The following is a 14,321-nucleotide window of genomic DNA, read 5'->3' as shown; positions in this document are numbered from 1 at the left end:
AAGGGCAAAGCAAAGTGAGATTTTCAGAGCAAACTGAAGAGAACCAGCAGTCCACACCTGCCAGCCGGGAACACTGAAGAATGCAGTGGTTCACTCTCAGGACGGGTGGAGGCTGCCTTTTAGCGAGCACCTGGGGACCAATGATCATGTGACTAGATACTAAAGATTACTTTGTCTACCTCGAATCCCAATGACGACCCTGAAAGAAAGGTGTTGCTCTTCTGTTTTGCAGAACTAAACACTGAGGCTTACAGAGATTAGAGAATTACTCAAGGGCATCGCGCTAGTAAGCGGTAGAGCCAATTTTCAGAGGAAGATCTGCCGGGCTCTGAATCTGTGCTTTTCACTACTCAATTTCTTCTTCATAAACATTCTTAATGACTCAGACAAAGAATGCATTGTTATATCTCTGGATATTCTTTTAACTCAACAGATCCTGACTATGATAAAACATTTACACTGGCAACAGCAGGGAAGCAACAGAGATGCTGGAACCCCGGCTGCCGGACTCCTCACAAATGACCAAGTCTGGCTACTCCTATTGGGTAAGGTTTTCTGATAGTCACCATTTTGCTTCTAGTTCTTTTGTGACCTAAAGTCACATCCCTGCTAATAGCAGAAGGGGCTCTGTAGAGGCCCTGTAGATACTGCAACTATTTAATATTTTCTTGAAGTATGAGTTTGATACAGGCAGTGGGTTATGGACCCCACCACAGCCAATCCAGCATTCTGGAAACAGAGCTTCCAACAAGACTCTTCTAGAAACAAAACCAAAGAACAAACAAAACACAGAATCCAAAGCACTACTAAAAATAAACGCATTTTTTCATGAATGAGGGAGTATCGTAAAAAGAAGTCTTAACCTCCAAGTTTCTTCCTTAAGTTGATGAATTCGTAATTCACTTGGGACCCAAATGATTGGATAAACAGTTTGAAAAGATAGTGTCAGATACAAATGAAATAGCTTCCACTTGACATATGTCTTTTTAAAAAAGGAATTTCAATATAAAAGATGAGGGTTGAATTCAGATTTGGTAATAACTGCAAACGTTTAGGATACCATGGGAACAGGGACTCATCGGCCACAGCCCTAAACAAGCGGATTACTCAGTCAAGTGTAACCGCAGGCTGCCCTGTCGCTTCTCAGGCCTGTACACAGCCCTGCCATATAGGATTCCTCTGGGGAAAACATCCTGAGAATGTGTCATTTAGAATTAACATCAAGGAAGTCAAAGGGCATGAGAATGGACTTTCCAGTCCCTAAAGAATGGTTTCCAGCTGCCCTATGGAATAACTACTGCTGAGTTCAGTGAAGTTCCCAATACACAAGTTTTAAAACATGGTTTAATGGGGTGTCAGTTTACCAGAGTGAGTGTGGACCAGGTTCTGCTCCTCACCCATGGCATGGCGTTGAGTGCAACACATCACCACTCGGGGTCCCACCCACAGACTCCCAGCGCTGGGCTAGAAGGTGTGTGGAGTCCCTCTGGCTCCAACTGCAAAGGTTTCAAGGCTCCCTGTGCAGGGTCACTGCGTGACCTTTGGGAATCTGTGGAGACAGAGACTCCAGCCACCTTCCATGGAAGTCTTCCTGGAATTCCCAACGAGCTCAAGAGCCCTGGTCCTCCTGTGATGGGACATGACCTAGAAACCCACTTTGGAGGGGAGTGGGTCTCTCCAAACTTTCCTCTTCACAGGACAATAAAAGTAGACAGCAAAAAATCCTGAGTGGGGTGATTGTGTCTTACGAATATTTACATCCTTGCACCTAGCATAGTAGCTGGCACCCAGAGCAGGCTCAATACATGCTTTTTGAATAAATGAATTGAGGCCGTTAACACTGAGAGTCTTCATCTTAAATCATCCCATGCCAATAAAATAGGCATTTAATAAAACTGAGTTAATTTCATCAAGTGTGTACTATACTTGGTCAAATGCTATTATCGAACTTAGGAAACACTGATATTTTTGAGAAGGGAGTAAAAGTCATAAAAGAAGTAGGGTAGTTTTAAAAATTTTTAAACTTTTTTTTTTTTTGCTTTAGAAAGAAAAGCACCCACTAACACAATAAACACGAAAGGCTGCTTAAACCAAATGCAGTGAATGCTTATCTTGGTCAGCTGGAGTTCACCTAAGCAAGGACTGGACCAGGCAAGGAGGCCCTGAACAGCAGCCTGCTTCTGGGGCCAGCTTTCCTCTTGGAGCCGCAGTCCTGGAGAATCATGCTGGGAGGTGTTAGTGCTCGTGAGAGTGCACAGAGGAGCACAGCCTACAGTCGATTTGATGTCCATCATCTTCCCTTGCATGGGGAGATTAATAGACCATAGGGAAGACAGAGGGGTCTGAGAAGGACTCCCTGAGCCGGGCCCTCCTGCAGGGAGGCAATGCTGACCACATCAAGCATGGGCTCCCCAGCTGTGAGGGTCATCTTCGCTGCTGCTGATCACTGCTCTGTGATTTCAATTAAATCATGAAGGGTGGATTCTCGCACACGCACACTTCTACAGATACACACATGCACAGATTAGGGAGAAGGGTGATGGTGCTTTACAGATACGAAATGTCCTCCACATGATGCACTACTTTATAGAAAAGGGTGATGGTACTTTACAGACACGAAATGTCCTCCACATGATGCACTACTTTATAGGAAAGGGAAGCGATGTGATCTTTGGCCGGGGTGAGAGCAGGTTTCAACTCCTGTTCTCATGCTGCCAGCGCTGCCACCACTCATTCACGGGCTGGGCTAGGTCTCCTTGAAGAAGCTGATCTGTGAGGACGTCCTGCATGGGTTGGGAGAAGTGTCTTGCCTTTATAAACCCAACCAAAGACATCAGACACAAAGGAAGGATGGGTCTGAGTGTCAGCTGCTTAAAGAAAGGGTGAGGTGGAAAATCTGTCACAAGGAGACAGGATGGAGATCGCAGGGCCACAGCCATGATCACAGAGGGTGAGGGCAGACCGTGAGGAGTGGAGACAGGGGAGCCAATGGGTCAGAAGGGGCCCAAGGAAAGACACAGCTTTGAAGCAGCTGGCCTGTGGGATCACACGAGGAATCTGTCCCCTGGGAGGCAGGGGGAGGTCCCGGAAGCAGTGGAGACCAGACCTTTGAAGTTTGAGCAACACAGTTTATCATGCACAAATTCTGATGTCAGAGTTTTCCCTCAAGCTATATTTAAATTTGAGTCTGTGCTGCACACTAGTAAAACTGCAATCAGTGAGCTAATCAAACCCTCGTATATGTGAGGGGTGAAATAATTTTTTTTGCTGACTCATCACAGGGACACTTTTTCACCATATGCCATATTTAAAGTCGCAAGTATTGCTCTCTGATGGATTAAAAACTGTCTCTCTCATAAACACATTCCTTCCAACAGCATTCATCTTGCTCTGTGGTCTAAAAATGGGGCAGCAGTTTGGAGCATGACAGAGTACAGGGCTCATTCTCTTTTTCGTTCAACGAGTAAAAATAAATCTTGAAATTTGGGCAGAGGAGAGGCCGCGGTGCCAGGAGTCCCAGAAACCTTCCCTTTTCAAGTAGTGTCTGGAGCACCGAGCCACGCCCACACCTACTGGCCAAGAGAAGTCACCAGCGTGCTCCCAGTGCCTCCCAAGGTGCCGGCAGCTGCCTGGCTGCGGCTGGGGAAATGCAGACTGCGCTTGAGGGCTCGCTTGCCGCCGTCCTGGAGGGGCTGTTATTAAGCCTTGTTCTCAGGTTTCATATTGCATAGAAATGTTACCTTACAGCTTAGGAATTCTGTTCCCGTGAAGCTTACATAGGCCCCTGTCCCTCAGCCTTCTGGGCCACTTTTGGCGTTTCCCTCTAAAGGTGGCACTGTCAAGTCTTCTTAACATAATCATCATTTAGTCCATTTTCAGTCATGCAGTCCACGGGGAAGCTTTAGAAACAACCGAGGCACACGTGTTTGGACTGCAGGTAAGAAGAGCAGGCAGGAGGGAAAACACACCCTCAACGCAGTTAAAGCTCTGCTTCTTTAACACACACCGAACTGTCCCAAACCCAGGCACAGCCAAGCCAGGGCAGGTCAGAGCTCCGCAGAGGTGGAGGCCGAGGTGGCTCTGAGCAGCTGCAGCAGCTGGGCGGGAGGGGCCTGGGGAGAAGGAAGCCTCAGAATCGCCTTAAAAGAGGAAACCGTGATGTCACTCCCAAGGCTGCCTACTTGGCCCCATTGCCTGCCTCCGAGTCTCCGGGCTGAGGTGTATTTAGAAAAACCGAACTCCAGATCCCGGAAGCCACCTATTCTTAGAAACAAGCGCAGGGCTCCCTCGGGGCTGCAGCCGCCTGCGTTCCTCCCCAGCTCGGGGCCCCCGACTGCTGGGCTGCCTCCTCGGGCAGGTGTGAGACTGCAGGGGACGGGTGGTGAATGCGGCCGACACTTGGCTTCCCTGGAATGGGTCCTTGTCCCTACACATTTCAGAATCCCTCTGGCCACGGAAACACCCACATGGAAGCGCCCGTGATGTCCGGGCATCACAATTCTCTCCGTGGGGACGTGAGATGCCATTCTCAAGGCCTCCAGCAGCTCAGGGTCTGGCCCTCGGCAAGGCTATTTCCTTCCAGCCTTTGGAAATAGTGATTGTGCTAATGCACCTGGTATATGTGGGTATCAGTCGCTCCTTTTTTTTATTATTATTACTTATTTGAGATGGAGTCTAACTCTGTCTCCTGGGCTGGAGTGCAGTGGTGCGATTTCGGCTCACTGCAACCTCCACCTCCCGGGTTCAAATGATTCTCTTGCCTTAGCCTCCTGAGTAGCTGGGATAACAGGCGCCCGCCACCACGGCCAGCTAACTTTTTGTATTTTTAGTAGAGACGGGGTTTCACCATGTTGGCCAGGCTGGTCTTGAACTCCTGACCTCGTAATTCACCCGCCTCGGCCTCCCAAAGTAATGGGATTACAGGTATGAGCCACCGTGCCCGGCCTCAGTCGCTCCATTTAAGTGAGTTTTCTGGATAATGTTTCCTCATTTAGCACCCAACTGTGGGCCATTTTCAGTAGACCCTTCTAGCAGCCCTTCATGGGGATGGCCAGCAGCCTGGGTTTCGCACGTCCTTTCACAATCAGTAGAAGATCCCATGCTTCCGTCTCTGTCCCACATCATGGTCTTCTAGAGCGTAAGCATCTCACTTTTCTTTTTTATCTGAGTACTCTCTACATAGAAGTGGCTGAATTCAGGTTTGTGGGCCAAAGTGGAGAAATAATAACAATGCTATTATTATTATAATTGCATATTAATATATTACATATCAATGTATTACATACTATTACACAATTATAATAGCAATAGCACTTCTCCACTCCATATGGTGCACTAGTTGCCTTATAAACTCCACATAAAACCTATGAGTATTTTCATTTCCATTTTTTACAGACAAGGAGGGATCAAAGATACTAAGGGATACACCCAATTGCATGGCTAGAAATGATGGCTGAGATTGGAGTGGGGTTGGTGATCCCCAGGAGCCATCCTACTTTTCCAGCACTGTGGCTTACACAAGAAACACACCTGAGTCTCTCTTCTTACAAAGTGAATCCTGCAGTTGTTTTGTTCTGTAACTTGAGCATGTGTCCGAAAACCTTGGAGGATTTTTTACACCAAAGGTTGCTCGGTGCAGTCAGGGAGGCTGAAAGCTACTTAGCGTTTCTCAACACTCTACACACTTTAACCAGTGTATCCGCAACTGCAACGACAATCTAGTCACACAATGTAACCACGGTCTACCCATAACTGCAACCACAGTCTATCCATATGCTGTAGCCATGGCCTATCCACATGCTGTAACCATGGTTTATCTAAACACTGTAACCATGCTTTATCCACAAAACGTAACCACGGTCTATCCACACACTGTAACCACGGCCCATCCACACGCTGTGACCACGGCCCATCCACACGCTGTGACCACGGCCCATCCACACGCTGTGACCACGGCCCATCCACACGCTGTAACCACGGCCCATCCACACGCTGTAACCACGGCCTATCCACACGCTGTAACCACGGCCCATCCACACGCTGCAACCACGGCCTATCCACACACTGTAACCACGGCCTATCCACACACTGTAACCACGGCCTATCCACACACTGCAACCACGGCCTATCCACGCACTGCAACCACGGCCTATCCACGCACTGCAACCACGGCCTATCCACACACTGTAACCACGGCCTATCCACACACTGTAACCACGGCCTATCCACACACTGCAGCCACGGTCTATCCACACACTGTAGCCACGGCCTATCCACACACTGTAGCCACGGCCTATCCACACACTGTAACCACGGCCTATCCACACACTGCAGCCACGGTCTATCCACACACTGCAACCACGGCCTATCCACGCACTGTAACCACGGCCTATCCACACACTGTAACCACGGCCTATCCACACACTGTAACCACGGCCTATCCACACACTGCAGCCACGGTCTATCCAGGCACTGTAACCACAGTCTATCCACACACTGTAACCTCCAACTATCATAATCACTGTGCCTCCCTTAGCAGACACAGAAGTCCAGGATGAGGATTTTCTTCATGGGAACAGCCTCAGATTTCTAAGCCCTTTTAGTTCATACTGTGGTTTTTGTGTTTAACTTTTTTTTTTTTTCAGACGGAGTCTCACTCTGTTGCCCAGGCTGGAGTGCAGTGGTGTGATCTTGGCTCACTGCAAGCTCCACCTCCCGGATTCACGCCATTCTTCTGCCTCAGCCTCCCAAGTGGCTGGGACTACAGGCACCCGCCACTGCGCCTGGCTAATTTTTTCTATTTTTAGTAGACAGTGTTTTACCGTGTTAGCCAAGACGGTCTCGATCTCCTGACCTCGTGATCCGCCTGCCTCAGCCTCCCAAAGTGCTAGGATTACAGGCGTGAGCCACCGCGCCCGGCCTCTGTTTAACTTTTTTGTTCCTTGCTGTCAGTTGTGAATATCACTTCTTCCCTACAGTGTACCCTCATCTCCTCTTTTCTCAGCTCCTTCTAAACCCCTATTTGCAGGGAAACTGGACCACAGAGCTTGCCTCAGCCTTCCTCACTAAGTGCTGCTACATGTCTGCTCTATGCCAGGGAAGGAGCATCCTCCAGAAGCTCGCAGTCCACTGGGGGATGGAGAGGGAAGACAGTGGCTTTGGAGGGTGCTAAGGACACAGGGCTCAGCTGTGACTTGGCTTGGGAAGGCAGGTGTTTGGGACCAGCGTCCCCCAGAAGGTGACATTGGGTGTGGGCTTTGAGCATGAGCAGGAGACAGTCAGATAGAGAATGAAGGCGGCAGCCAGGCACTCCACACGCCAGAGGACATAGCAAGTCCAGGGAATTGGGAGTAATATTAATAGCTGGACGGTGGCCTTGTTGGAGGAGCAGGGGGACTCAAGCCACTACCTGAGAGCATGGCCCGCAAGAGTCCATCTGACGTGTGACTCCCCACTGAAGCGTTGAAATTACTGGTTAAGTTCCCTTGGGACAAGTGTGATAATGCTTCACACCGAATCATAGAATTGGATACTTAAGGAGGGTTTTAGAGTTCACCTTGGACTTCCTCTGTTTTAATAAGGTGTCGAAATTCCCTTAAGTAATTAAGAAGAGATGAACCATCAAGATGGTAGCTATTTCTAGAATATCCTTCCAGGTCTTCCATGTACTTCTCTGTCATTGATGTATGATTACGACCTAATTTGCAGCTTTTAGGGCAATTTTGCTACTTTATAGATGGCTTTGGTATTTAATTTTCCTTCTCACACAGAGTGAGCCACAAGTCTAAACACACTACCACTCTTTTGATCATATTTCCTGTATGCGGCAGTGAACAGGGTAGGAACCTTCATCTGTGCAGTCTGGCAGATGCCATTTACCGCCTGCACAGCAGTCCTTCTTCCATCCTCTGTACATCATCTGCCAATGGCTCACCTCTCAGTGGCCAAGTGCATCAGTGTGAGTGTTGCTGCAGCTTGAAAAGGGCTGACACAGCCAGGCGCAGTGGCTCATGCCTGTAATGTCAACACTTCGGGAGGCCGAGGTGGTCAGATAGCTTGAGACCAGGCGTTCGAGACCAGCCTAGCCAACAGGCTGAAACTCATCTCTACTAAAAATATAATTAGTTTGGTGTGGTGGCATGCGCCTGTAATCCCAGCTACTCAGGAGGCTGAGGCACGAGAATCGCTTGAACCCGGGAGGTAGAGGTTGCAGTGAGCTGAGATCGTGCCACTGCACTCAAACCTGGGTGACAGAGCGAGACTGTCTCAGAAAAAAAAAAAAAAAAAAAAAAAAAAAGAAAAGGGCTGACACAAAATAACCACTGATTGCATCCTCCTGTTAGCATCTTGGTTTATTATGTGTATAAAACCTCCTACAATCTAAAAATCACCCCCCAACAAAATCTATTCTTGATCTGACATAAACCTATGAATGTAACTCTCAAAACCACAACTGCACTGCAGTACAGTATTAGCATTTATCAGATAAAAATACAGTTGATTAATTTCTGAATCCATCAACCCTTAAAGGGTAAAATTTATAAAAGATTAGCTTGCAATATTCAGATACAATTGTTTTTTCCCTCTCTTCCTTTTGTCCCCCAAGAGTATTGTAAATGGTACATATGGCTAATCAAATCAACAAGAAAATAACGAGTGTCCTATTTGTTTTTTCCGGACCCTGTTCTGACAGCATCTTCCATGGCTCAAAAAGGCCACATCCTAGCGTGGATACGCAGAACATGGCACTATCCCCATAAGTTTGAGCAAACATTAAAAAAATAAACAAGAGTCACTTAAAAAATGTGGTACATTAAAAGTGATGCTTAAAAGAGCTAGTTGAGTTGATTCTCTGTCAGAATCTTATGGTTGAAATTAGATAAAATCATCAGTGGAATTTTGTGTACATGTTTTATACAATAATATCCATAACTCATAATGAAATGGCCAAACTCCATTCTGAACACTCTTTCTTAAGGTTAATATAAACAGAAATCTATTACCACTAAGCTGAGTAAAAATCTTTAAAAAATTATCTGCGGATTATTTTTCTGTTATTCAAAGTGTATATTTTCAATAGGAAAAATGTGATGCAACTATTTTTGACTTTCTTAAAATGTGGTTTGGGAAATAAGTTATTCACTCATTAAAATAGATAGCTAGCGTTCCTTAAAGTTTGAATACAGGAGGAATTTTTGTTGTTGTTGATCTCTCCTATTCAAATTCCTCTTTCAAAATTGGATCAATTTAAGGAAACAATTTAATATAATTGTTAAAGTGATATTTAATAGATTCTTCAATTTTATTTACTTTGTGTGACATTGTATTTATTTTATATAATTCATTGTAAATAGAAGTTTACGCACAGAGTTACCATAAATACATCCTGTTTTATTTACAAAGTATCTAAGGAAGAAGATGATTCATGCTCCCTAGTCTCCAGCACCTGTTTTGATACTTTACTCATTTACTGCTATGTGATTCATATATTTCTCTCTGGGGAAGTGGGCGGAAGACGGGTGCACATTGTTCTATGAAAACTTCAAGTCTTGCAAGTCTTGTTTTTTCCCCTAAGTCTTTTAAAATGTGCTGTGGAAAGAATTTATTCTAATTGGCTAATCAACAAGGATGCTATAGCACTATGCAGCTGTTTATGAGAAAAAACTGTCCTCAAATACTTGTCCACCATAATTGCTTTGTTTGAAGACATTTGGAATGGAGAGGTTTAGTAATGGATAGAAGGGATTGTTTTTTTCTCTATTTATGATTCGATGAATGGAAATCCTTTTAGACTGGCTAAACTACTTCTATTTTCTGATCTTAAAGTAGTTGTTCAACAGCAGTAGGACACAAATGATGCTGGATATATATATGGCAACCGTGAAAAATTCAGTGATAACAAATACTGTAGTTCTAGTGCAAATTTGTCCCATTGAAATAAGTAATAATCAAGGCATAGCATCAAGCTTCTAGAGAAAAAATGAAATCCAGCAGAAAAAGGGAGAGCATAAAATCTCAGTATGGGTACTGAGACCTAGGGAGTGGGGTTATCATCACCACCACCATTTTAGACTAATAATAACGATGATATGAAGATGATGATGCGTTGGGTGCTTGGCTGTGTGGTTTACACACTTCCTTTCATTTGTTTCTGAAAGGGAGTGAAAAAGGAGTGAGGCAGATTCAATCCCAGACTGCGTCCAGGGTCAACCTTTCTACTAACAGGAGGATTCCCAGATGCAAATTCAAGCAGGTCGAGAACACATTGTTGACCTGAGGCTCCTTTTCTGACCTGTCCTTGAGGCTGAGAGTTCAATCACGTGTTCACTGGTATCTCCAGTTGTGCGAGACAGTCACTAATAGGGTCATAAGGACCCACCTGGCAGAAAGATGCACAGCCTAAGTTGATATCTGGTGGCTCCTGATGAAGAGGTTTAATAACTGTTATTTCCCAATAGGATTTACAGTATTTTAGATTTTTAAAGAATCATTTTTTTCCTAAAGAAATCTGGCTACGGTAGAGGAGCAGGCGGATGTCAAGGAAAGGGGACGCCAGAGTGCTGGGCGTGAGAGCCCCGTGGGTGTGAGATAGAGCCGGTGGGTGTGACATAGAGCCGGTGGGCGTGAGATAGAGTCCGTGGGTGTGAGATAGAGCCCATGGGTGTGAGACAGAGTCCATGGGTGTGAGATAGAACCTGTGGGTATGAGATAGAGACCGAGGATGTGAGATAGAGCCCGTGGATGTGAGATAGAGCCCATGGGTGTGAGATAGAGCCTCTGGTTGTGACATAGAGCCCGTGGGTGTGAGATAGAGACCCATGGGTGTGAGATAGAGCCCGTGGGTGTGAGACAGAGCCCGTAGGTGTGAGACAGAGCCCGTGGGTGTGAGATAGAGCCTGTGGTTGTGACATAGAGCCTGTGGGTGTGACATAGAGCCCGTGGGTGTGAGATAGAGCCCATGGGTGTGAGATAGAGCCTGTGGTTGTGAGATAGAGCATGTGGGTGTGACATAGAGCTCGTGGGTGTGAGACAGAGCCCGTGGGTGTGAGATAGAGCTCTGTGGTTGTGAGATAGAGCACGTGGGTGTGAGTTAGAGCCCATGGGTGTGACATAGAGCCCGTGGGTGTGACACAGAGCCCATGGGTGTGAGACAGAGCACGTGGGTATGAGATAGAGCACGTGGGTGTGAGATAGAGCTTGTGGGTGTGACATAGAGCTCATGGGTGTGAAATAGAGCCCGTGGGTGTGAGATAGAGCTTGTGGGTGTGACGTAGAGCCCTGTGGGTGTTCGATGAGCCTCCTAGTGCCCTCTTGCCCGAATATTGATGGAAAAAATCCCTACATTCTTCTAATGTGAGTGTGTGCATAGAAAACCATCTTATCTCTAAGTGAGTGTGAGAATCCGATGAGTCAGCACGTATACAAATAGAGACTTATTTAAAATATTAATATTTAAATTTTAACAGTTAACACATTAAAGCTGTATAAACAAGTGACTTATAGTTACTATGCATTAGGCAAAGGCACAGGAAAAGTTCCTCTTGTGAAAATCTCCTCTATAAAATCATAAACAATACTGATAACTCATGTCCATGCTGGTGGGAGAAAAGTCTAAATAAAATTCTCTGTTCGACCCTCCCCTCAGAAGAAAAGCCTCTCAGAAGACTTCCTTCAAGACCCACCTCTTAAGAGGCTCCTGGGGGTTAAAAAGCTGTTATCAAATGCAAATCACTCCCAGCTGGGTTGAGGCCATGACTAATGTGCTCTTTGGTGAAGTTTCTTTTCATCTGCAATCCACAGATGCTTTGCTCAAACATGGAAGGTGTGGGGACGGTTTGAGTGGAGCAGATCCTCTCAGAACAGGACTAGCTGGCAACACAGGCCATTGCAAGGGAAGGCTGGCCTGCGGAGGGCTCACTGGGACACGGGAGAGAGCTGCCTGGTGACACAGAGGGGCTGGAGAAGGTGGAGGAGAGGAGGCAGGTGGAGGAGGGTCAGCTTTCCAAGGCGGAGCGGGTTGCTAAGTAAGTCCTTCTACCAGGAAGCTCAGCTGCACCTCCCAAATAATGACAAGGGACCCAGACACCATCCTAACGTGGCTCTCATGTGTTAGGGGTGCACAGGCATAGCCACCTAGGGAGTGGGGGGCTCATCAACACTGCCATTTTAGAGATAAAACACGGTGGTGCCAAGAGATTAACTAATGTGCCCAGCAGCCCGCACTTCCGAATGGGGGTCCATGGGGAGTACTCCGACCCCAGCACCCCAGCTCCATGGTCTGTGCACCCGCCTGACACGGCACCTCCAGAGTTGGATTTGGGGGTGCATGAGAAGGGAGGAGCCTTGCAGCTTCTGCTGCAGCCAAAAGTCTGTGAGCCCCACTGCTGCCCGGCGCCCCTGGCTCCTCAATTTGAGGTATACACAGAGCCTGACACACAGTAGGAACTCAGGTATTTGCTGAGTACATGAAAGAAATGAGCTGCAAGATGGAAGGTCATGCCAAGGAATTTTGCAGGGGCTTTCTGAGGGCAAGGCTTTCCCTCGGGTGCACCTGCACGCGTACTCGCCTCTTAGCTTAGGGTGCTGAGCACTGCTCTAGCCCAGGGTCTCCCACCTTCAGCACTTCAGATAATCTGCACCAGATAATTCTTCTTCACGGGGCTGTCCTGTGCATATAGGATGTGTAGCAGCGTCCCTGTGCCCCACCAGATGCCAGAAACACCCTCTCCACAGTATGACAACCAAAAGTGCCTTCAGATTTTGTCTGATGTCCCTGAGAGGAAGCTGCCCCTTTTCAAGAAGCCCTGGTGCAGCCACCTAAGAGCAGAAGGTGCAGTCTTCTCCGTGCCTGCGGAACTAGGCAGGTGCTGATGGGTCAGGGCCAGGCAAGACTACAAACGGGGCCCAAATGCCCCCGGCTCCATGATCTCCCCTTTACAGGAGCCGGAGAGTGCGTGAGGTGGGACACGGAGGCTCTGCCTCATATGAAGCAGCTTCCATTCATGACTGTGTCCACCGACACCAATGTGGAGCTCTCCACCATGATCACATTGTGGAGAAGGAAATACACCGCGGGACCGAATTCCTTGTCTAAGGACTGTCTAGGTCAGACTGGGAACATTCTTCCCAGTGGTTCGAAGGGTTTGCTTCCTAAGTATCGTTCAAATGCTGTCTGCAGGGAATACTGCATTCAGGAAGTGCCCACTGGGGTGGGTTTTAATGCGACTTTTCATGCAGAGGGCATTTGCTTCAATTATTTCCTTGTAAAAGAAATTTCACTGATTATTTCTGTTTCTTGGAAACAACTCCATTTAGTATTTTCTCTTAGCTCTTCCTAAATCAATCTTAAAAGGCCTCCTGATTTGGCTGTAATTCCAGAATCTTTCTCCATCTCAGAGAATCTCCTGAGGCGAGGGACCCGGAGGAAAGGGCCTGGTTCTGTCTCATGAGGCCGCAGGCGCACCTCTGGACCATGGAGGGCCTCAGTTTCCTCAACTGGGAAAGGAGACTTGCTAGTGTATCAGGTCCTTCCTATATCTACAATTCTCTGAATTTGTTCCATATCTATTTTTTTGGACAAAACTTTTGTCCTCCCTTGTCTGTATTTCCTTACATCTGAGTTTTATTTACAAATGATTTGAGCAGCAAATCCTTGATACTTAAGGTTGCCAGTGAAGACCTTGAATAAAGGGAGATACAATTAAAGCTGCATGCATCTTATTTTAGCCAAGAAAGCAGAAAACTCTGCTCAGATAGAACAAAAGCCTAATGAGCCCTGTTGAAATTCTTCATTTCACATTACATCTCGATTCGAGACGCCTGGGCTATTCCTTTTGCCAAAACTGTGTAAAATGTGACCGTGGTTTTAATATTCTTACAAGCCGTGGGTTATTCTTCTGTTGAATTCCCACAAGCCCTGTTTGTTGTTTTTCAGAGCAAACCACTCACTTTTCCAAACTGGGTTTTGATTGCTAATAAGAGAAACATTTTGACAGTATACTTTTTTTTCCAGAAAAGTTCTGTGAAGAAGAAAGTTCTGTTGAAATATACTTGTGATATGTTCAAATTAGGTCTGAATAAAGCCATTAAGTATTAGGCTGAATTTTATAAAGTACGTATTCAGATGATTTTACCTTCTTTAACATGTTTTTCTATTATCTCTATTTTTAGTATTGTTTCACCAAGGTTAGCTCAACATAATGAATTTCCCCATAGTCAAAGCCAAAAATATGAAGGCGGGGGAGGAGTTTCTGTAAAGAGTTGGTCCTTGGGGATTATTTCGAAAAGCTTTTCCTGAGTCAAATGATTTTAACGGAATCACA

General features: G+C 46.4%; 1 protein-coding gene across 1 annotated transcript in view, besides 2 other annotated features; it reads right to left on the bottom strand.

Moving 5' to 3' along the window:
• The window catches only part of COL4A2 (collagen type IV alpha 2 chain), a 205,926-nt gene that overhangs the window by 121,307 nt on the left and 70,298 nt on the right, over positions 1-14,321 (bottom strand). The window lies entirely within an intron of this gene.
• Positions 3,990-4,854: an enhancer, noted in NCBI's record as "H3K27ac-H3K4me1 hESC enhancer chr13:111039396-111040260 (GRCh37/hg19 assembly coordinates)". NCBI's record gives its function as "activates a minimal SCP1, AML or CMV promoter by ChIP-STARR-seq in naive and primed H9 embryonic stem cells {active_cell/tissue: H9 hESC(naive and primed)}" and the evidence as "EXISTENCE:reporter gene assay evidence [ECO:0000049][PMID:30033119]".
• Positions 11,495-12,445: an enhancer, noted in NCBI's record as "NANOG-H3K27ac-H3K4me1 hESC enhancer chr13:111031805-111032755 (GRCh37/hg19 assembly coordinates)". NCBI's record gives its function as "activates a minimal SCP1, AML or CMV promoter by ChIP-STARR-seq in primed H9 embryonic stem cells {active_cell/tissue: H9 hESC(primed)}" and the evidence as "EXISTENCE:reporter gene assay evidence [ECO:0000049][PMID:30033119]".

Source organism: Homo sapiens, chromosome 13 (assembly GCF_000001405.40).
Source record: "Homo sapiens chromosome 13, GRCh38.p14 Primary Assembly".
NCBI lineage: Eukaryota > Metazoa > Chordata > Mammalia > Primates > Hominidae > Homo > Homo sapiens.
This window is presented reverse-complemented; position numbering and strand designations above follow the sequence as displayed.